This window comes from Homo sapiens, chromosome 3 (assembly GCF_000001405.40).
Source record: "Homo sapiens chromosome 3, GRCh38.p14 Primary Assembly".
Taxonomy (NCBI): domain Eukaryota; kingdom Metazoa; phylum Chordata; class Mammalia; order Primates; family Hominidae; genus Homo; species Homo sapiens.
Genome location: NC_000003.12, coordinates 32,367,627 through 32,391,770, shown reverse-complemented (window position 1 = coordinate 32,391,770; position 24,144 = coordinate 32,367,627). Strand labels below are relative to the sequence as shown.

General features: G+C 44.1%; 1 protein-coding gene and 1 long non-coding RNA gene across 6 annotated transcripts in view; both read right to left on the bottom strand.

Annotated features, from left to right (window-relative positions):
• Window positions 1-13,267: 13,267 nt before the first annotated feature.
• Window positions 13,268-20,413, bottom strand: LOC124909361 (uncharacterized). The gene is made up of 2 exons (XR_007095859.1): window positions 13,724-20,413; window positions 13,268-13,596 (listed from the first exon to the last, which is right to left on the bottom strand). It is a non-coding gene; the product is annotated as an uncharacterized LOC124909361 (long non-coding RNA).
• A 1,036-nt stretch (window positions 20,414-21,449) lies between these two features.
• Window positions 21,450-24,144, bottom strand: part of CMTM8 (CKLF like MARVEL transmembrane domain containing 8) — a 132,130-nt gene continuing 129,435 nt past the window's right edge. For all 5 annotated transcript variants that reach the window (XM_011533416.4, NM_178868.5, NM_001320308.2 and 2 more), the window contains 2 exons: window positions 23,783-23,899; window positions 21,450-21,887 (listed from right to left, as the gene is read on the bottom strand). In XM_011533416.4, the coding sequence (XP_011531718.1) occupies window positions 21,804-21,887; window positions 23,783-23,899 (201 nt within the window). In that variant the 3' untranslated portion in view covers window positions 21,450-21,803. The remainder of the gene's footprint in view (window positions 21,888-23,782; window positions 23,900-24,144) is intronic.

Here is a 24,144-nt window from a genome sequence, read left to right as displayed (position 1 = left end):
GGAGCCGCCTCTGGCGGGATCCCTCCGGTGACTGGCCGGCCGGCGCCTTCCAGAAAGGTAGCGGCAGTCCCGGCCCTCGTAGATGCGCGGAAGTTAGACTGGAGCGAGAGGAAACCGGATGCCTTGGGTCGTGGCCTCTCCGAGGTGGGCAAGGCCCGGACCACAGCTGGTACTGAGCCTCCTGGGATTTTGTGTGGGTGCGGCTGCGGATGTGTGCTGAGAGCACTTTACTGAAGTTTAACTTACATAAAGTGTGATGCCCAGACCTTACGTGTTCAGCTCCACTAATTTTTATATATGTGTACACCTGTGTAACCGTCGCCCAGATCAACAAATAGAACGTGCCCATCACCCCAGAAAGTTCCGTGGTGGGCCTTCCTGACCTACCTTCCTTCCCTGGCCCCATCCTTATCCAGCCTCAGGCAACCACTACAGTGTATTCTGCTTTCTGTCACTGTAGGTTCATTTTGCCTGTTCTTGGACTTCATAAACTTGAAGTAATACAGAATATTCTCCTTCAACATAACAAATTAGAAGATCCATCCTGTTGGGAATATAAGTAGTTCATATCAGTTCCTTCCTTTTTATTGCTGAGTAGTACTCCACTGTGCAAAGATACCGTATTTTTTAAACGTTTACCCAGTTGATGGACACCAAGCTTGCTTCCTTCCTACCTGCTTGCCTGCCTCCTTCCCTCCTTCCGGCCTTTCCCCCCTCCCTCATCTCTTTTCTGGCTATAGTCACTATTATGGTACACGTTTTTTTGGTGGATACAAACTCTCATTTCTCTGGGACAAATATCTGCAAGTGAACGCACTGGTTACAAGGGGAGCATATGTTTGCTTCTGTTAGAAGCTGTCAGCCTGGGGAACATGGCCAGACCTCATTTCTACAAAAAACAAAAAATAAAAATAAATTAGCTGGGCCGGGCGCGGTGGCTCACGCCTGTAATTCCAGCACTTTGGGAGGCCGAGGCGGGCGGATCACGAGGTCAGGAGATCGAGACCATTCTGGCTAACACGGTGAAACCCCGTCTCTACTAAAAATACAAAAAATTAGCTGGGCGTGGTGGCGGGCGCCTGCAGTCACAGCTACTCGGGATGCTGAGAATGGCGTGAACCCGGGAGGCGGAGCTTGCAGTGAGCAGAGCTTGCGCCACTGCATTCGAGCCTGGGCGACAGAGCGAGACTCTGTCTCAAAATAAAAATAAAAATAAAAATAAATAAATAAATAAATTAGCTGGGTGCAGTGGCACATGCCTGTTCAGGAGGCTGAGTCTGGAGGAGCCTTGGAGCCCAGGAGGTTGAGGCTGCAGTGAGCCATGACAGTGGCATTGCACTCCAGCCTGGGCCACAGAGCAAGACCTTGTCTCAATTAAAAAAAAAAAAAAAGACAAGAAAAAGAAAAAGCTGTCAAACAGCTATCCAAGTGACATTCTATTCTGTATCCCTTTTGGGTTGTTTTAAAAATGAAGAGGCCAGGCGTGGTGGCTCACACCTATAATCCCAGCACTTTGGGAAGTCAAGGCATGAAGATCCCTGGAGGCCAGGAGTCCGAGATTGCAGTGAGCTATGATCTTGCCACCGCACTCTTGTCTGGGTGACAGAGTGAGACACTGTCTCTTAAAAAAAGAAAAAGAAAAAGAAAAGGAAAAAAACATAAAAATGAAGACAGGCCCAAACGGGACTACCAAAACGAGGTATGTTATCATGTTCCTTTTGAGCAGTGTCCCTGTGGCCATACTTACATTTATTCATTTGGAGATAACATCAAAAAATCTGGCTGGGCACGGTGGCTCATGTCTGTAATCCCAAAATCAAGCTCACAAGCCCAAGTTTGACACCAGCAAGGGCAACATGGAGAAACCCCATCTCTACAAAAAAATACAAAAATTAACTGGGCATGGTGGCACATGCCTGTAGTCCCAGCTACTCAGGAGGCTGAGGTGGGAGGATTGCTTGAGCCCGGGAGGTTGAAGCTGCAGTGAGTCATGATTACAACACTGTACTCCAGGCTGGGTGACAGAGCAAGACCCTGCCTCAAGAACAAAACAAAGCAAAGTGAAACATAAAACTATCTTTGTGAGTTTATTCCCTGCCAGTGCTGTCTTGTCATCAGAAGAGTTTTCGATGTGGCAAAGTCCTAATAATTCTTGTTGGTGGATGATACCCATGCAATATCTGTTTTGGCAAGTCTCTTAGGTGATTCTGATGCACACTCAAATTTGAGAACCACTGTCATTGCCAGAGTCCACTGCAGTTGAAACATTTGGGGATTTATTACACTATTTATTTCACCTTTATGTACATTTGACAATTTTCATGACCAAGAAAAATTGCCTTCCACGTGTGTCTTCTCTGTAGACAACAGTCACAGCTGCCTGGTACCTCCATTTGTTTCTCTGTAATTCAGGAATAATTGCATCTAGGGGCTGCTGTGACAATGTGATAGATATGCAGGTGTGCTGTGACATTTCTGGCTCTATACCCACAGGCATGAAGTTAGTACTGTGTATCATTTTTTTATGTAGATGTACATTTCACTTCTGTACTTGTCTAAGGCTTCAGGACCCACAGTGGAGATAACAGGGCATCTTTGTTGAGATGAGGGTTTCAGGGAAGCAGAAAAACCAAGTGCTGGATCATTTCTCCTTTGAGGGGCCTTTGTCCAATTCAGCAGTCTTCTAACAGTGATTTTCAGTGTATAGCCCCCCAACCAGCAGTACCTGCGAACTTGTGAGAAATGCAGATTCTAGGGGCCCACTCTGACCTGCTGAATCAGAAACTCTAGGGGTAGGGCTCAGCAGTGTGTGTCTTAACAAGTCTTCCCAACCCCACCCTCACTCCCCACCCCCCTTCACCATCATTCTGTGATTCTGATGCATACTCAAGTTTGAGAACAACTATCTCTTCCTGAGTCTGCTCAGAAACATTGCTGGGCTTTTCTGCCTGGTGTTGACTAATGCACCACCCACCTCTAATCAGAAGTAATCACTGTGCTGGGCACTCTGTGTTAATCACTTTATTATGATCACTTAAGAGCTTGAGCAAGATGCTTGCCAGTGCAAGGGCCATTGCTGGCCTGACTTACAAGAAGAGGCTTCAGAGGCTTGCCAAGTGCACTGAGATGTCTACACTAGTGTGTTGTCTGCTAGATGTGAATAGCTGCCCCTTGGGAAAGCAAGGTCTTAGGCAAAGGGCTTCATAGCCCACTTTAAAGATGTCACACTCTAAGAGGGAACCAACCAGGTAGGTGACCTCTGAATACCTGGTGAGAAATCAAGATGTCCAAGTTCTCCTTTTCTCTACACCGAGGGATTGCAGGTGGCTTATTGACAGTTTAAAGCTTCAATTCGAGTGGTACTCTGACTATAACTCTTCTTCACCAGTGTGTTTATGATGTTATATCTGATCAGATATAATGAAAAAAGTAATAAAATTAGAGTTGACTCTGTATTAGTCACAGTGCTTTTGATGAGACAAACTAAAATCAAGCAAAAAGAAGAGTTCATTCAAGCTGGGAGCAGTGGTGCATGCCTGTAGTCCCAGCTACTCAGGAGACTGGGGTAGGAAGATTTCTTGAGCCCTGAAGTTCCAGGCCAGCCTGGGCAACATAGCAAGACCCTGTCTTTAAAAACAAAACAAAACAAAAAACAAAATAGGCTTGGCACGGTGGCTCATGCCTATAATCCCAATATTTTGGAAGGCCGAGGCAGGAGGATCATTTGAGGCCAGGATTTTGTGACCAGCCTGGGCAGCATAGTGAGACCCCCATCTCTACAAAAAATGAAAAAATTGGCCAGATGTGTAGTCCAAGCAACTTAAGAAGCTGAGCGGGGGGAAGATCACTTGAGCCCAAGAGTTCAATGTTACAGTGAGCCATAATCGTGCCACTACACTCCAGCCTGGGCAACAGAGTGAGACCTTGTCTCAAAAACAAACAAACAAACTAATAAAAAGCAAAACAAAATAATTCATTGGCTTGAGTAACTGTGATATGCAGAGGTATACACCCACTTCAGGCATGGCTGGATCCAGGTGCTCCTCAGGCACAGTCAGGACCTCCATCTCCTGGCTTCACTCTGCTCTGTGTTGGCTTTTCAGGCAGGCCCTCTCATGAGCTCTGACAGCTCAGGCTTACACAATAATCCTGCCTTCGTTATTTCAGCCTGTCTTTTCCAGTGGCTCTGGTACTGTCTTAGGCTGCCATAACAAAATATCACATACTGGGTGGCTTCTCAACAAGAATTCACTTCTCACAATTCTGGAGACTAGAAGTTCAAAATCCAGTTGCCATCAGGGCTGGTTTCTGGTGAGGCCTCTCTTCATGACTTTAGATGGCCACCTTCTTGCTGTGTCCACACATGGCCTTTTCTCTGTGTACATGGAAAGAGAGAGAGAGATCTCTGGTGTCTCTTCCTAAAGGGACACCAGTCCTATTGGATTCTGGCCCCACTCTTATGACCTCATTTAACCATATTATCTCCCCAAAGAGTCCATCTCCAAATACAGTCACACTTGGGGGTAAGGCTGCCACCTATGTATTTGGGGCAGGGAGGACACACAATTCAGTCCATAATAGGCACTATCTCTCATTAGTCCAAATATGGGTCATGGTTCCATCTTTCAACGAATTACTATGGCCAGAGGAGTGGAACATTTTTGGTGGCCAGGTCAAGTTCTACCTACCCATGAAGCTGGGGGTGGGATAGGTTCAGCCCAGTAGAACCACAGGAGCTGAGTGAGGAAGGGGTGGTTCCCAAAAGGAAAACCAGGGTGCGAGTATCAGAAAGCGGAGTGAATATTAGGCAGTGTTATGCACTGAATGTTTGTGTCCCCCCATCATTTAAAAGTTGAAGACTTAACGCCCAATGTGATGACATTTGGAGATGGGGCCTGTGGGCAATAGTTAGACTTAGGTGAGATCATGAGGGTGGGGCCCTCAGGGGGGGATTGGTGTCCTTATAAAAAAGACACCAGAGAACCTGCTGGCATTCTCTCCACCATGTGAGAATACAACGAGAAGGTAGCTTTCTGCAAGCTAGGAAGAGAGCCCTCAACAGGAACCAAATCGATCAGCACCTTGATCTTGTACTCCCCAGACTCTAGAACTCTGAGAAAATAAATTTCTGGTGTTTAAGCCACCTGGCCATGGCATTTTGTTAGGAAGTCTGAGCTATGCCAGGCAGACAAAGGCATCAGGTGTCCATGAAACTCTTCCAATATCAGCCTTTAAAATCCTTTTCCAGTGAATTTCTTTATTTGTTTGTTTATTTATTTATTTATTTATTTATTTATTTATTTATTTTTGAGATGGAGTCTCACTCTGTCGCCCAAGCTGGAGTGCAGTGGCGCGATCTCGCCTCACTGCAAGCTCCGCCTCCTGGGTTCATGCCATTCTCCTGCCTCAGCCTCCTGAGTAGCTGGGACTACAGGCACCCGACACCATGCCCAGCTAATTTTTTGAATTTTTAGTAGAGACGGGGTTTCACCGTGTTAGCCAGGATGGTCTCAATCTCCTGACCTTGTGATCCGTCCGCCTCGGCCTCCCAAAGTGCTGGGATTACAGGTGTGAGCCACCGCGCCTGGCCTCCAGTGAATTTTTAAAAAGTTTATTAGGTTCCGTAAACCAGTCAAACTCTCAGGTCCTTCTGAGAATCACCAATCAGCTGCCTTATATCCATTGGAAATTTATTGCATCAGGCTGGCTCCTGAGCCAAGGGCAGCCCATCAGTGGGTTGGCCAGTAGTGTTTGGAGTGGCCTTATAAGGGAACTTTGCCTAGTAAGAGTGGGAGCTCCACTGATGATCCTCTGTCCTGCGGAGTTTGAATGTGAGGCATTGAGAGGGGTTTAGCAATTGGGACATAGAGAGAAGGTGGAAGCCAGGAGGCTGGTTGGGCCATGAGAGGAAATAAGGAGAGGCAGAGCAGAAGAGAGTGGCTGAGGCCCAGCAGAGGGAGAGCGGCATGTACTCACCACAGCGGGGCCAGCCAGGATACCTGGTCTTTAGCGCCAGGTGGGACCCTGAAACCTTTGTCTTTGTGCTGCCTGGCTGTGTGGCTGAGAGGCAGGACTCTGGAACCAAACTGCCTGGGTTTGGCCCTTAGTTCCATCACTTGCTAGATGTGCAACCTTGGGCAAGCCTCTCTCAGCCTCCATTTCCTTCTCTGTAAAGAGGAACAACAATAGAAATGACCCCTCAGGGTAACTGCGAGATCTAAATGGGATAAGACATATGGAAACGGTCTAGAGTAGCATCTGGCTCATAGTAGTAAATGTTACCTATTTTATCATTTTTCCTAAGTCCTTATGTATCGAACAATGAGGCTTCATTATCTGAGGGCTGAGGGACTCCTGTACGTTGCCATTTCCATAACCATAAGCATCAAAGACCATCTTCAAGGGTGAAATAAAAGATTTCTTGGATTTAGGTAATCCAAGGAATTTTGAGAGCTGCTGGGGAAAAGTTTTACTGAGAGAGGAAGGGAGGAGAGGAGGATTCACCTTGTTATTTGCTCACAACCCTCACTCAGCAAATGTTACGGAGAGCCTTCCACATGCCTGACTGAACACTTCCCAGAAGAGGAACTCCCTCCCCCAGGGAGTTTGTAACCATAGCAACACAGGGAAATAGAGTCAGATAACCGAGGAGGCTGTGGTCGTCATCTCTGTCATCTCTGTTGGGAGGAGTCGAGGTCTGGGTTAGACGGCTCCCTGTTTGTGTCCAGTATTTAGCAGAGTGCCTGGCCCAAAGTAGTACTCAGTTTATATTTGTGGGATTAATGCAGAGCTGTAGCATCCCTGTAAGGGATGGCCCAAAGCTGGGAGTAACCAGCTTGTCTTGAACTGGGAGGAGAAAGTTTCAAAAAAGAATATGTGCTTGGAACTAGGTCTTGAAGGGCGATTAAAAATTTATGGGGTGGGCAAAAGAGGGAATGACATATGTCAAGAAAGGAGGCATGAAACCGCACCACGGATTCCAGGAATTCCCAGTCCTTTGGCGTGGCTGGAGTGTGGGGACTTGGGGAAAAGGGCTGGGGACCTTGGCTGGAGAGATACCACAGGACTGTGGATGCCCACCTTAGGATTTGTGCTTTATGTAGACAATGAACACTGTGAGGATCAAAGGGGTTAAGATATGTCAAATGCTGAGAACTGTTGCTGACAGTAAGATGATGAGTATGATGATGATAATGAGATCTCTTTTTTATCTTTCCTTAGCCCATGCTGTCATTTGCAATCACCTGTGAAACCTATGAAAACTATACCTGCCCAGGCTCAGCCTTGGAGATTCTGATTCAGTGTGCTCAGGCGGGGCTGGACATCCATGTTTGGGAAGAGTTGCGCGGGTGATTTCGATGCGTATATGACCCTGGTTGAAAACTGCTAACCTGGCAAATGCCCGCCAGTCTCACAAAGTCCAGCCAAAATGTTACGGCCTCTGAGAAGCCTTCTGTGAGTGATGAGCAATCCCCATGGCAATATTTATTGAGCACTGACAAAGTGCCAGGACCTGTGTCAGGCACAGGAGTACATGTTCTTTGCCCAGACTGAGAAAACAGGCAATATGTATGAAAAATGCTAATGATAGAATAAAAGTGGGGTACTATGGGAGCCCATGGGGAGATACCTTACCCTGTCAGGGATGTGATGGGGAAGTCAGGGAAGGCTTCCTGGAGGAGGGGCCATCTTAGCTGCATACTGAAGGATAAAGAGGTGTTAACCAGCCTTGGGTGGGTGGAGAAGAGAGTTCCAGGTAAGTACTCGGGCATGACAGATTAGAGGGGATGAAGTTCATGCAGGCTTAAGCATGAGGTCCAAAGAAGTGGGAGATGCTACATGAGGCTAGATAGGTGGCAAGACAATATGGCAAATGTGGGTGAGTTACCTGACTCCTGTATGTGCACCCAGCCCTTTGCCCACACTGGAAGTGTGTGACATATCTCACTTTAGTTGACTCTTTTGAGACTGGGAGCTCATAGAAAGAAGTCATGTGTGGAAACTCGGCAGTCAGGGTCATGCTGCCTTGGGTTTAAATCCTAAATCTGCCACCTACCAGCTCTGTGAAGCTGGGAAATTTCTAAACCCAGATGGGACAGATGGGTCAACCTTTCCCATCTGTCCCAATGGGAATGAAAACTCATACCAATGTTTGCTAATCCAATTATTTTCTGCTGCATATCAAAGCAACCCAAAGGTTTGTGGCTTAAAATAATCTATTGTTATCTCTCATGGCTCTGTGATTTGACTGGGCTCAGCTGGTTGGTTCTCATTTGGAGTCTCATGCTGTTGTAGTCAGAATGCAGCTGGGGATACAGTCATCTGAAGGCTCAGCTGGGTTGGACATCCAAGATGGCTCTCACATGGCTGACAGCTGATGCTGGCAGTTGGCTGGGAGCTCAGTGAGGGCTGTCACTGGAATGCCCACATACAGCCTCTCCACACGGCTTGGGCTTCTCAGAACATGATAGCTGGGTTCTGAGAGGAAGCATTGCAGAATAGGTATTCCAGGAAGCAAGAAGAAGCTGCCAAGACAGATAAGGACTACGCCTGGAACTGAACATCTTTACTCCCTCTGTATGCTACTAGTCAGGGCCTGCCCACATTGAAGGGGATGCTGAAATAAACTCCACCACTGGATTAGGAAGGTGCATGATGATATTGTTGTGATCATCTTTGGAAAATACAATCTGTAAAGCCTTCTGTGAGGATTCAATAAATTAAGGCATGGAAAGTCCTCAGCACAGTGCCTGGCACATACTAAGTCTTCTAAAGTGTGCAGGCTCTTCTTGGCCTTCATCCTGACATCCTCAGCACCAATCACAATGCCTGGTATGCAGTAGTGGAGCTTTATAATTTTTAAATTAGACAGGGGGAGACCTGTTTACTACTTCGTTATGCTTAATTGCTATGCAGCCCACAAATAATTGTGACTGTCATTAAACAGGGAAGATCAACTTCACTCTTCTATTAAATTCTTACTCTAAACATGAAAGCTCAGTCTGCATTATCTGTTGAGCAAGCAGAATAACCGTCTACTTAAAAGTGGGGAACAGGCTGGGTGTGGTGGCTTATGCCTGTAGTCCCAGCACTTTGGGAGGCCCAGGCAGGTGAATCACCTGAGGTCAGGAGTTCGAGACCAGCCTGGCCAACATGGCGAAACCCCACCTCTACTAACAATAAAAAATTAGCTGGGCGTGGTGGTGTGCACCTGTAATCTCAGGTACTCGGGAGGCTGAGACAGGAGAATTGCTTGAACCCGGGAGGCGGAGGTTGCAGTGAGCCGAGATCGCGCCACTGCACTCCAGCTTAGGTGACAGAGCAAGACTCTACCTCAAAAAAAAAAAAAAAAAAAAAAAAAAAAAGAGGGGGGGAATACATTAGAGGAAACATCTGGGAATTCAAGAAAAAAAGTGGAAAGAGCACTGGATTCAGATTTAGAAGACCTGGATTGGAATTTAGGGGCCTCAGAGCCATTCTGCACATCAGTCTCCACATCTGCAAAATGGGGTTCACATAGCTTACCTCATTGGGCTAAGGACTAAATGAAATTATACTTATTCAGGTATTTGGTTCCTGTTAGTGGCCTCTGAAATAGGCTGGGATGAAAGTGGTTGGGCTTGGCATGTTGGGAGCATTGGCAGACAAGTGCAAACAGCACTTTGAGCAAGAATCTAGCAAAACAAAACAAACCAAAACAAAACACCCCTCTGGGTTGCCCTTGGCTTAGTCCCACCCTCTTTTGCGTCGCCCTCGCCCAGCTTACGTGCATTGTCCGATATCCCGTCAGGTTCCCAAAACAGAGCTCTGTGCACAGTTGCGGGTGGACAATAAAATTTGCTAACAATTATTTCCTGGCTGTGGCCACTTGTACTTAGTTCCAGCCGGCAAGAGATAATTTGGTGCTGAATTGCACAGGTGGTCCCTGCATTACCCCATCTCCCCACAATGTATCTCTAGAAAAACCACCATAAAGTTGACTGTCAACCAGCACTGATGTTTGTGTGCTTCAACATGATTGACAAAAAGAGAAGGTTTGACATTGGCCAGTGAGGGAATGGTGACATTTGATGGATCAGGCAGTGAAGCTTTAGACAGTCGACTCTCATTTTCTGATAACTTCCTGTGTGATTATTTGCCATATCTCCCCAGGTAGACAGACTGTGGCCTCCCTGTGGACATTCCGCTTTGTGAGTGCTCTCTATTGGTTATAACTTGCAGGTGGGTTGCTTCCTCATGCTTTTGGCTGTACCCGTAGAAAGGATGGGACAAGGGGAGGAGCCCCTAATTCCTTAAGCAGTGAGAAGGTCTGCGTTAAGGCCAGTTTGGCTTTTCTCGACCTCTGGAATAAGCAAATGGGACTCCAGTTGCTGGTCTGCCTGCAAGTGACATTGTCCGGACCTCAGTGATTGCATTTGTGAAATGTTCACCCAGAAATGGGTTTGAAATGTTGAGAAAGGCCATCGAACACCACACAAGTGTGGGGCATCATTAGTCTTTGTGCTAATGCTTTCTGCCAGAACTGGTACTTCTTTATGAAGCTACCAGCAGAGAAAGGAGAGAAAAAAGTGGAGACAGAGAGACAGGGAGACAGACAGAGACAGAGGGAAAATACATTTATCTGGGGAGAAAAAAGCATTGCCATTTGTTATGGGCTGTATTATGCCTCCCCTGGCCCCCCACCAAATTCATATGCTGAAGTCCAAACCTTCAGTACCTCGGAATATGACTGTATTTGGGGACAGGGCCTTTAAATAGGTAATTAAGTTAGAATGAGGTTGGTAAGGTGTGCCCTAATTCAATATGACTGGTGTCTTTGTAAGAAGAGGAGATTAGGAACAGGCGACACAGTGAGAAGGTGACTAAGTGAGGACACAGTGAGACGGTGGCCATCTACAAGCCAAAGAGCGAGGCCTCAGAAGAAACTCAATCCGCCGACACCTTGATCTTGGGCTTCTAGTCAGAAGTGTGAGAAAATAGATTTCTGTTGATTAAGCCACCCAGTCTGTGGTATTGTGTTATGGCAGCCCCAGCAAACGAATACACCATTTATGTTTTGCATTCAGAACCAATAAATAATTCTTTCAGAAGACAAATCTCTTGACCATTCTCAAAATATCAAAAGCATTTCTTCAAAAATTAAAAACTGTTTTTATCCTTAAAACTTGGGGATACCTCTTTGCCTTATTTCTGAATGTAAATATATTTAAAAACTGTAAACGTTATAGTAACAATAAAAAGGAAACAAGCACGAAAAATAAAAGCCTTTTAACCAAGGCTTCAACTTTTTTCCCCCTGTCTATCTGAAGCTTTGTGCCCTTTGACCAACATTCCTCTCTCCTCCCATCAGGCTCTGGCAACCACCGTTCTATTCTGCTTCTATGGAGTGTGACTTCTTTAGATTCCGCATATAAGTGAGATCCTGCGGTATTTGTCTTTCTGGTGCCTGACATTTCACTTAGCATAATGTCATCCAGGTTCATCCTTGTTGTTGCAAATGACAGGATTTCCTTCTTTTTTTTAAGCCGAACAGCATTCCATTGTATGCCCACATTTTCTTTATCCCTTTGTCTGTTGATGGACATTTAGGTTGCTTCCACTTCTCGGTTATTGTGAATAATGCTGCAATGAACACGAAACTGCAGATACCTCTTTGACATGCTGAGTTATTTTCCTTTGGGTATATACCTAGAAGTGGGATTGTTGGATCATAGGGTTGTTCTATTTTTAACTTTTTGAGGAACTTCCGTACTGTTCTCCGTAATGGCTGGACTAATTTACATTTCCACCAAGCGTGCAAGGTTCCCTTTTCTCCTTATCCTTCCCAATGCTTATCTTTTTTGAGAATGGCTGTTCTAGTAAGTGAGAGGCGATACCCAATTGTGGTTTTGATTTGCATTTCCTTGATGATTAGTGATGTTGAGCATTTTTTCATATACCTGTTGGCCATTTGTATATCTTCTTTTGAGAAATGTCTGTTCGGGTGCTTTGCCCGTTTTAAAACTGTGTTGTTTTTTTCTTGAGTTCCTTATATATTTTATTATATTTACCCCCTTATTAGATTTGCACTTTGCTAATATTTTCTCTCTAAACTTAAACGTTTAGTTAAGACCAAGTTTAAGTGCTCAAGCATTAAGGATCATGCCCTTAACTTGTAGGAGAGGCTGCCCTTCAGCCTGTGCCAGCTCTCATTTTATATACCATTCCAACGAGTCTAGTGAAAATTAAGAACACTTCATTAGAAGGGGTTAGGCTGCTGCAGAGGGGAGATGTACGATCATAAAAGACAGACTGTACTGTCAGTCTGGACAGTGAGGAAAGAGCCTATAAATCTATGAAAAGTAGACACAGGAATTAAGAATGAGGCCATTTGGGGTGGGACTTTGCTGGATTACAGCACTATTCTTAATGACCATCATCCCTTATTTTATTTTTTAAATTTTATTTATTTTTTAGAGACAAGGTCTTGCTCTGCCGCCCAGGCCGGAGTGCAGTGGCATGGTCAGAGCTCACTGCAGCCTCGAACTCCTGGGCTCAAGCAATCCTCCCATCTCAGCCTCTCAAGTAGTTGAGACTATAGGCGTGTGCTACCGCACTAGGCTAATTTTTCTGTTGTAATTATTTTTTTTTTTATAGAGACAGGGTCTTGCTATGCTGCCCAGGCTGGTCTCGAATTCCTGGACTCAAGCAATCCTCTCACCTCAGCCTCCCAAATTGCTGGGACTACAGGCACATGCCATCATGCTCAGCTACCCCTTATTTTTAAAAAGTTAAAGTCCAGTGCTATTTAAGAAATCACAGAAGACTATTACATGTTATACCTTCTCTAAGTATGGTGAACGAATGTTCTGGAATTGTGTAAGACAGCAGAATAGTGTGAATGCAAGAACTTCTCTCCATGTAGGCTAGAAATACAAATGTAAATTCTCATAGTTTTTTTTTTTTCCTACTATAAGTAAGTATACAGATGTAAATTTTCACAATAATCTTGTTATTCAAAATTTGTAAATGAGTGATTTGCAGGCAGGCAGACTCTCTTTCTTACTTTATCCATGAAATCTTTCATAAATGAGATAAATGATGACCAAAGCTGACTATACTTCCTGCCGAAAAAAAGGCAAAGGCAACAGGTGCAGTCCCCTCAGTGGTCCTCATGCAATTGCCCAGGCTGCTTGTTTGTCTTTGCAAAGAGGCTGGAAGATTTTAATTTTTCCACAAATAGGATACTGATTGTTTCAACCTACTAAGACTACTGCTTTATCTTGTCTTTTAGTTAAAAATATTTATTTCCAGATTATGAATGTATTTTATGCTTACTGGAGAAAATTGGGAGAAATACAGAAAAACAAAATAAAAAATCACCTTGCGATCCTGCCACTCTTTACTACTCAAGTTTGCTCTGCCTTTTGTAAATTCAAAGTTACACCATAAACATTTTCTACTAAAAACTCCTTGTAAACAGTTTTCAGTGCCACTGATATTTTTGTGTGCACAACTTTTCTCCATCACGTATTTTTAGAAAGACAACATGTTAACTGATCTTCGATTTAATGACCAATCTAGCAACCACGGTTCAGCACAGCTTGAGAAGTGTATCTGTTAAAAATACAAAGTGGAGTCATTAATAATGGTGTTAGCCGATTCTGATTCTGAATAATCTTGGGAGGGGATATTGGGAGTACATTAATTTCTAAAGGCTCATTGAGTAGATGTAAGTACTTACTTCGGCTTTCTCCTACTGTTAGGGTTTTAGGCTGACTCCAGTTGTTTTCCCTGGATTAAAGACAGGATTAACATTTTTGTGCATGAATCTTAAACTCCTAAGAGATACATCCCCAAATCAAGGGAACAAACATATATACGGCTTTTCATATATAATGCCAAATAGATTTCTGGAAATGTACTACCTTATCCCCACACCTTGCAGTTTTCACCTGGTTCCTTTCCTCACAGTCCAGATGTTTTCAGTAAACTAGGCTGGAGGAGTTGGGACGGAGTGAGAAAATCTCAGTGCCAGCCCAAGCTATTCTAACTGAGTAACCATGGGCAAGTCATTGACAACTCAGTGGAGCCTCCATTGTCTCTACGAGATAAATGGAGCGATGGACACCTGCCTAATGTAAGGCAAAGATTTTTTTTTTTTTTTTTTGAGATGGAATCTTGCTGTGTTACCCAGGCTGGAGTGCAGTGGCACGATCTTGGCCTACTGCAACCTCCGCCTCCCGGGTTCAAGAGATTCTTCTGCCTCAGCCTCCCGAGTAGCTGGGATTACAGGCGCCCAACACCATGCCCGGCTGATTTTTTGTATTTTTAGTAGAGATGGGGTTTCACCATGTTGGCCAGGCTGGTCTCGAACTCCAGACCTCAGGTAATCCAACCGCCTCGGCCTCCCAAACTGCTGGGATTTACGTGAGCCACTGCGCCCGGCCAGGGCAAAGATTGAGGATCAACTAATATTATGTGTGAAACTCAAGTATAAAGTTGTAGGTCGAATTGTATGAAATTGCCATTTTTGTAGGACAGAGTCTAATAGTGACCATTTCACATGGCTAAACCTAGTACCGTATCATTAAATGGTTGGAGGTTATTAGGCCCCACAGCTCATAAACAGTCATTTCTATGTTCTAGAAACCTATGTACTGGTTGTGTGTTTTCCCAGGTACCCAGTTCATTAGCCACCTGGTAGCTGCTATTTATCAAGCACTGTTCTGACAATCATTTCTGGGTAACACAGATGCATCAGCTCTTCACTTCCAGGTCCCTGCTGGCCTCATCACCCAGCTGTAGCCTCCTGCATCTCCTGGCAGTCTCCCATCCCCACAGCTCTCATTTCACAGACCTCTCTTAAGCTTGCCCTCTCTATTGGTTTACCTCTATTGTCTTCTAACTCACCCTTCACGGTGTTCTAGGACTCTTCATTAACTTCCCAGTCTTTTCACTACAGTAGACATTTAATTGAACACATACTACATTCCAGGCACTGTGCTGAGCTCCAGAGGGAAGACGGGGATGAAACCTCACCTTCCCAACTCTCCAAAAGATCACAAACCAGATGGGATATAGGAGGTAATAAACAATTCAACAGCATGGCAGATGGGAGAAGGGCAAGAGTGGACATTTTTAAATATTCCACTTTTTTTCTTTTAAAATCAACTTTATCAAGCTATAATGTATATTAAAATACACCCATTTTACGTGAATAGTTTGTGAGTTTTGACAAATGTATACACCCATGCAATCCCCACCACAATCAAGATGTAGAATATTCCTGTCACCTCAGAACATCTCCGTGTGCCTCTTTGTAAGCCAACTGCTCCAGCCCTATTTCCAGGCAACCACTGATCTGCTTCCTGTCACTATAGCTTTGTTTTGCCTTTTCTAGGGTTTCATATAAATAGAATCAAATGATTTTTTTTGGTCTGGCTTCTTTTATTCAGCATAACGTTTTGGTGATTCATCCACATTGTTGCCTATATCAGTAGTTTGTTCCCTTTTATTGCTGAGCAGTATTCCATTGTAGAGATACACAATGTATTCATTCACCATTTGATAGCCATTTGGGTTGTTTCCAGTTTGGGGCAACTATGAATACAGCTGCTATGCATATTCTTGCTCAATATTTTTGTGGATATATTTCTCATGGGTGGATATCTAGGACTGGAATTGCTGGGTTACAAGTATTGTTTAACTTTGTAAGTAATTATACCATTTTACACTCCCACCAGCGGTGTATAAAAATTCCAGATGCTGCATAACCTCGCCAACACCTGGTATTTTTTTTTTTTAATTTACCCCTTCTAGAGGGTGTGAAGTAGTATCTCATTGTGGATTTAATTGCACCATATGTGATATCTAAGTTCTTTTTCCTAAATGCCAAGAGTTTAGGTCTAGTCCTCATTCTCAACGTTCTTTGGCACTTAATGCTCAACTTACCTAGAGAGAGAGAAGCCACCTCTCCAGTGACTATTTGCCTTTACGACAACACGGTGGAATTCTCCTAAGTTAAAATGGCTGGAGGCCAGATGGTTCATGTTCCTCCTCCACACTCAGCTTTCCTATTGCAATGGCCAAAGATAGGTCATGCGGTACTCCTTTGAGTACCCATCCTCCCAGCTCTTTCTTTTTCTAGGATTTTCCCACGCTATTGCCACCTTCAGCAATAACTTTAGGAAGGCCCGAGTCACTGTCAAATGGGCTTTCAAAATTTCCCTTTTTCTACCCTTCTACTGCTAAATAGCATTGGTGCTAAAGTTGGCTCCTCTCATCATCACTACCGTCTATACAGGCCCTTGTGGTGACTTGCTTGAAAGGTGTTTGCCAGGATGTCCTGAGTAATGGTTATGATGCCTGTTGTTGCAAGTAATGGAAATTAGTTTAAGTGGGCAGAATTGCTCATGTAATTGCAAAGTCAGAGCTTGGTAGCATTCAGGGCTGAATTGATTCAATGGTTCAATGATGTTATCATTGATGAAGTTTCTTTCCACCTCTTAACTCTTCGTTACTGTTAGCCTATGACTGGCTCCCCCTTGTGGTCACAAAATTTTTACAAACGACTTCCTGGCTACATATTTTCTCACCCAAGGAGAGGACTGTTGCTTCTAAGAGTTCCATCAAAAGAGCTGCAGGCCAGGGGCAGTGGCTCTCATCTGTAATCCTAGCGCTTTGGGAGGCAGAGGCAGGTGGATCGCTTGAGCCTGAGAGGTTGAGACCAGCGAAACCCTGTTTCTACAGAAAATACAAAATTAGCCAGGCGTGGTGACACATGCCTGTAGCCCCAGCTAGTCGGGAAGCTGAGGTGGGAGGATCATCTGAGTCCCGGGAAGTCTAGGCTTCAATGAGCCGTGATTCTGCCACTGCAACTCCAGCCTGGGTGACAGAGTGAGACCCTGTCTCAAAAGAAGAAGAAGAAGAAGAAGAAAAAAAAGAGTAAGCACGGATTTAATAATTCCACAATGTATACAAAAATCAAAACATCACATTGTGGCCAGGCACAGCTCATGCCTGTAATCCCAGCACTTTGGGAGGCTGAGGCACAAAGATCGTTTAAGCTCAGGAGTTCGAGACCAGCCTGGGCAATGTAGTGACACCTCATGTCTATGAAAAAAATAAAAAATTAACCAGGTGTGGTTGGTTGGTAGTAGACGACTGTGGTCTCAGTGGTCCCAGCTAGGCTGAGGTGAGAGGATTGCTTGAGCCCTGGAGGTTGAGGCTGCAGTGAGCCTATTATTGTGCCACTGTACTCTGGGTAACAGAGTGAGACCCTGTCTCAAAAAATATAAATAAATAAATAAAAAGTAAGAAAACCCCCCAAAGCCACATAACATTATAACCACAAAATACATGCAATTATTGTCAATTAAAACATTAAAAAAAGAAGGGAAATCATTTATTGAGCACCAATTGTGTGCCAGGTGCTTTAAATACATAATACATTAACACCAGCAGTTAATATGCTTGCTCTCCACACTTGCTAGCTAGATGACTTTTATAACATTTTATAAAATTGCTTAACCTCTTTGTACCTCAGTTTCCTCCTCTGTAAAGTGAGGATAATCTAGTATCTACTGCGCAGGGTTCCCCTTCTGAGAGTTAAATGAGATAATAGATGGAAAGCCCTTTAGTACAGTGCCTGGCATAAAGGGTCAATGTATATTAGATAACACACACGTACACAGCATGCCTCTTTCCCAGAACTCCCAAGCAAGCCGTGGGTCACATGACCATCTCTGAACCAATCACTGTGGTGGAGGAGGAGGGTGGTCTCATGCTGATGAGCTGAGGCAGAGCCGTAGGCTCCATTCCTAGAGTCCTAATGGAGTCGGCCTCTCACAAAACACTGGGGCTATAAGAGGGTGGTCTGGATACTGAATAAAAACTAGGGCAGTTTGAGAATATGAGGAGGAAGAAAAGATGCTGGGGAGGCAGCCACAAGGTTCCCTATGCCCTGGGTTCATTTAGCTATTCTGAATATTCTAGCAAAAACAATTCTGCCATAGATAGGAAAGTTTTCTCAAAACATATCTTCCAGATGGAATATCTTTTTAATCAGCACCTTTCTTCCCACTTACCTTCCTAAGTTTCTGAAAAGTCATCACTCTGTGATGCCAAGCACTTTCTCCCAAACCCTATCTTCTTTTACATATACCAAGAACCCAAGTTTATATACCCCCCAACTTATAACAACATGCATTATAATCTTCCCCATTATTCTAGGTCATCATCAACACTGGAAGTTATCTTACCTTCCTTCACAGCTGTCTGCTTACGATTCACATTTGGCAGCAGATGTTGCCAGCAGAACATTAATGTGCAGCCAAGTTAACAAACGCTCAGGCTGCCACCTTTCAGAGTGTGTGTGCTTGTGTGTGTGCGCGCATGTGCTTGCATGTATCATATGTCCAGATTTTTTTCGGTGAAAATTTATCTTTTCAATTAAATTTCAATAAAACCAATTTTTTCTGTGAAAACTCATCTTTTCAAAATAATAATTGTCTAGAAAACAAAAATATGGACTTTAAGTTGATTTTCTACCCAGGGCTGCATCTTCAGTTAGCATTTCTAAACGTCTACCTTCTATTACAGAGATATTTCATGTATTTATAATCTTTTGTGTGCTGATGCCCCGAAGGGATTTTCCTATGAAGGGAGCAACTTAAAAATAAAAAATAAATACTGATATCGAACATCCTCTTCTCTAGATTTTCTTGTAGTTTTCAAAGGTTGGCCAAATATTTATCTTTTGGGAGCAGTAAGTTGGAAATAGCAATAAAGAGAGATTAATTGCCTAAAGCACTTTATTGATTTGCCATGAGTGGGTAAATATATCAAGTTAAAAACTCACTCTGCTCCACCAAAGAGGACGTGAAGGTTTTGGAATGGCTGAGAGGTGAATGCAGATGGCAAGCGCAGATGGCAGAGATGAGTTTAAGTACCTTGTACACTATCCCTGTAATAATATTTTTCAAGCCCCCAGAAACCTATTTTTATGTTGACTGTATTGTGTGTGGCTTTGTTTTCTCTTGTTTTTTAAGAGAAAAAAATTAAAGCAAACCCAATTCACAACTTACAGCTCCAATCTGAACAACAGAGAATCATTTTGTTGTCTAAAAACCTACACTTAAAGCTTATTCATGAACGAAGTCTCAGTATTCAAAAGATGAAATAATAATTTCTTTTCAGTGAAAAATAAATGCTTTTTGCTGTTATTGTTTTAGTGAACTCTCAGGGTAACATAAAGGATCATGCTTCTGAAGAAACACCAATAAAGACAAGACAGCAAGTGCCCCTGCATGGACACAAACTAGGCATTGCTCTTTTGAAACAGATGCCTTTGGTGCTACCAGTTCAAGAAAGAACTAAAATTACAGTCTACTTGAAGGACATTTCAGAGTGTGGTTTACGGCACTTTTCACCCCAGAAGTTACGTTCTATAAATGTGGCCGTGATTATAGAAATGACACACACATGCTTGCGTGGAGCATAAAAGCAGGCTTCTTTCTGTTTCCAGAAGCAGGCCTCTGTAGGTTACTGTTTTTTCTGACTTTTATGGAGTGTTGTTTGCAACATAAAGTACTTGAAAAACCCACAGGGTATGTGGAAGGTGCACATGCTTTGGTGAGTGTGAGAGGGAGAGCTGGACGGAAGGGCAGAGCATGCCAACTGTGACTAGTTATTTCAGCTTTTCTGCAAAATCAGTGATGACTGGGAATCAGCTCCCCAAAGATCACATCACCAGTTGCCTACAGGTCTGTGTTATGGAAGTTCAGCCTTCCATGGCTTGCTACATTTTGGGCACAGAGTGGCCTTGTGTGCCCCCCGACACCACCTGCTCACACATCCATACCCTACACTCACCTCTCATTTTTGGAGCTTCCTTCCCCACTACCTCTTTGGGCGGGCCTAGTCCACAACCCCAGAACATTCTTCATTGGTACTTTCAAAGGTCTGGGGTGGGTATGACTAGACACTGAAGAAATCTCAACTCTCCTATGTAGGGGTAATCAGAGCTTGGATATGGAATTAGAAAAAGAGAACCAGCACAAACAGAAAAAAACAGCACTGCTAAACAGGTGAGAGATCAAGAGGCAGAGGCCATGGGAGTCATATCAACAGAGCGCACAGCTTCAGCTTTGTTCACGCTCATCAACTACACTAACGTTTCTGTGGTTTTTTGTTTTTCAAAAGCTCATATTGAAAAATCATCCAAGATACACTGCTGTACTAGCAAGAATCGTCCTATCTAAAAACACTTCCTCTAAGTTCATACTGTCTTGCTGATGTGAGTTCTTCTCCTTAACTGATAATATCTAATAATGATGTTATAATATTTTTGCACTGGAGATTTGGAATATTGAAACCTTTTGGTCCAGCAGTGTCTTATTATTAGTTTTTTTTTTTTTTTTGAGACAGGGCCCCACTCTGTTGCTCAAGCTGGAGTGCAGTGGCATGATCACGGCTAGCTGCAGCCTCCTCCTCCCAGGTCCAAGGGATCCTCCTATCTCAGCCTTCCAATTAGCTGGGACCACAGGGGTGCACCACCATGCCTGGCTTATTTTTTTGTATTTTTGGTACAGATGGAGTTTTGCCATCTTGTCCAAGCTGATCTCGAACTCCTGGCCTCAAGTGATCTGCCCACCTCAGTCAGGCTCCCAAAGTGCTGGGATTATAGGCATGAGCCACTGTGCCTGGCCTGGCCCAGTAGTTTTCACAAAAGATAGCACACATGTTACTGTGGTCAGCAATTTTTTTTTTTTTTTTTGAGACACAGTCTTGCTCTGTCAGCAGGCTGGAGTGCAGTGGTGTGATCTTGGCTCACTGCAACCTCTGCCTCCTGGGTTCAAGTGATTCTCCTGCCTCAGCCTCCCAAGTAGCTGGGATTACAGGCACCCGCCACCACGCCCAGCTAATTTTTGTATTTGTAGTAGAGACGGGGTTTCACCATGTTGGCCAGGCTGGTCTCGATCTCCTGACCTCGTGATCCACCTGCCTCGGCCTCCCAAAGTGCTGGGATTACAAGGCATGAGCCACGGCGCCCAGCCAGCAAGATAATTTTAAGATATATTCAATATATTCAGATATTTATCCTTTTAATAGTTATATATTTTTTTATAATGCATATTAGAAAAAATATCACAAGCACGTCAGTCACTGCACTTAGTAGCATAACTTCCCATGAGCTTATCACTGATGTCCAAGGCCAGGTCTGAATAGATGCTTTCTGGGGCAACCTGTTAGCATATGAAAATCATGAACACTGATCTATGATCCCCAGAATTGGGGAGATGAATCTCCCGCCTCTTTGCCCTAAGACTATGGATAAGTGTCACCTGACAATATCATACGATGCAGCCCTGTGAAGAGGGAGACTTCCCAGCCTCCCACCAGCCTTGACAGCCTAGCCTCTGGCTTCAACAGGTAGGTCTCCTTTCTCCAATCAAACACAACATTACTTGGGATTTTGCAACATTTAATCAAAAAAGAATCTGGCATCTTAAAAGTTAGGTTTACAAACTTGACACATTCTCAATATTAGCAATTTATCTATTTAAACATTGTCTAAGAAAATATGATCTATGAAGACATTAATACATTAATAAGATACTTAAGAGTTCATTATAAGCTACAACACTTTGCAAATAAGTATCCAGTTTAATTGTAACAAACCACAATTTGTGAGCAAATTTAAGAATATAAAAAACATTAATTAGTTAAATACAATTCTCTGGGAATATACATTATACCTACAGCTGTTTTTACAGTGAGAGTCTTCCTTTTTTTTTCCTTTTAATTATCAAAATGGTAAATCACTGTATGGTCCTGGATCTCCATGCTATAAAACTGAAATATGTATTTCCAGCGTAGCAGATGGTGACCAGGAAGGCAAAGAACTGGAGAAAACAAAGCATAATAGAAGTGGGGTTTAGGGCACATCCTAATTAGCAAAAGTTATCATTTCACCTCCATTGAATCACCCACTCACTACCTTTTCTTGATACCAGGCTTTGCCATCTAAAACTACTTTATTGGTTCAATTACTATCCTTCTCAAATGATTTCTGGTTATGCTGTTTTTATTTCGGAGAACATCTGAAAGCCTGTAGTTTTGCTCAAATAACCTCAGGGAGTTCACTTAGGAGTGAATACGGCGGCAGTGCATCTGAGGAAAGTGTATCATTTCTAATGTAGCACAGGCAATCTAGGTCCGGGGTACAATCTCGGATTGCTACAGTGTCAGTTCACATAAATGAGTCGAGTGGGCCAGAGTAAGCAATGAGCCCACATGGTATGTGAGGTGTGAACAGGGAGGAGGAAAATGCAGGCCCTTCTTAATTAATGGGGCAGCCTCCACCTAGTTCTAGTCCATTCTTGCTACGTGTTAACTTGAGCCCAGTCTTGACGAAGCTTGTGATTTTTAATGTCACCGGCATCCATATGCTCTACTTTTATTTTGTTTTTTCGAGACGGAGTTTCGCTCTTGTTGCCCAAGCTGGAGTGCAATGGCGTGATCTTGGCTCACTGCAACCTCTGCCTCCTGGGTTCAAGCAATTCTCCTGCCTCAGCATCCCAAGTAGCTGGGATTACAGGTGCCCGCCACCACCCCCGGCTCATTTTTTTTTTGTATTTTTAGTAGAGATGGGGTTTCACCATGTTGGTCAGGCTGGCCTTGAACTCCTGACCTCAGGTGATCCACCCACCTAGGCCTCCCAGAGTGCTGGGATTACAGGCATGTGCCACTGTGCCCGACCAATCTACTTTTAAATAGAGATCTTCAAACAGAAATAAAAGTAAAGAATATGATGAACCCCCATGTACCATCAATCAGCTTTGACATAATCATTTTGGCATTTCTGTCTAACTGCCTCCCTCCTTCCCCCGATAGGCTTCTTTTGGAGATGGGCTATTTTAAGGCCAATCTCAGAGAGATTCTTAATACCAGTTTTTTTTAATTAGAAAAATAATACACACTTATGGTTTAAAAATGCAAACAGAAGTATATAAATTAAAAAGTAAGGTCAGGCGCAGTGGCTCATGCCTGTAATTCCAGCACTTTGGGAGGCCAAGGCAGGAAGCTCACTTGAGCCCAGGAAATCCAGACCAGCCTGTGCAACATAGTGAGACTTAGTCTCTACAAAAAAGTTAAAACATTAGCTGGGCATGGTGGTGCAGGATTCTAGTCCCAGCTATTCAGGAGGCTGAGGTAGGAGGATGGCTCAAGCTGAGGAGTTCCAGGTTGCAGTGAGCTATAATTATGCCACTGCACTCCAGCCTGGGTGATGGAGCAAGACCCCTTCTCTAAAAAAAAAAAAAAAAAAAAATAGAAGTTTCTTGTCTCACTCCCCTCATTTCCCGATCCCAGTCTCTAGAAGGAACCTCTACTGGTATATATTTTTCTAGGCATTCTCAATGCATAAACAAATATTTTCACTTAAAAAAAACTAAATGGAATTATATTCTGTTCATTTTCTGCAACCTTCCCCCACTTACTAAATTATAGGCAGTAGAATTATTCTTAGCATGCTTTAAACAGCTTTTCTCCCTTGAATACTTATCTTGTTCCAGTCATTCGGCATTCACTCAAGCAGTCTCCCAGCCTTTTCCCACTTCGGGCCAGGAGGGCCCTCTGCCCCCTGCCAGTTTTAGATATTTTCAAATCAATAAGCCAATTGCTAATTTGTCACTACTGCAAGCGCTGCTTTTTCCTGCAGATGACTCTGTCTTCCCCAATCCCAAGCAAGCCTTGGAGAGGGAAGAGGAGGATCATGTGGGGATGGAGGGCTACTCACCGATGAGGCCGCCCAGCTGTTGAAGTTGTGACTGTCCCTCTCAGGGGAGACGGAAGATGCATCTACAACAGCGGCAGAGAGGTACAAGACGAAGGCACTGCCGTTAAAGCACAGGCCCTGGGGGGACACAGGGGCAGAGTGTTTAGGGAGAGGGGAGGGTCTGCATACCTCTGGACTTCAGAAGTGATGAGGGCTGTACCTCTGGTGTGGGGAGGGGCCCAAGTGGACACCTGTGGGAGGGTGGGGGAGAAGGCTGTGGGAAGGCAGCTCTAAGTGCGAGAGGAGAGGGTTTTACGGCAGCTCATACCAGATGCCAACCCCTGCCCCCACGAGACACTGAGACTGCATGCCGCCCCTTCAGT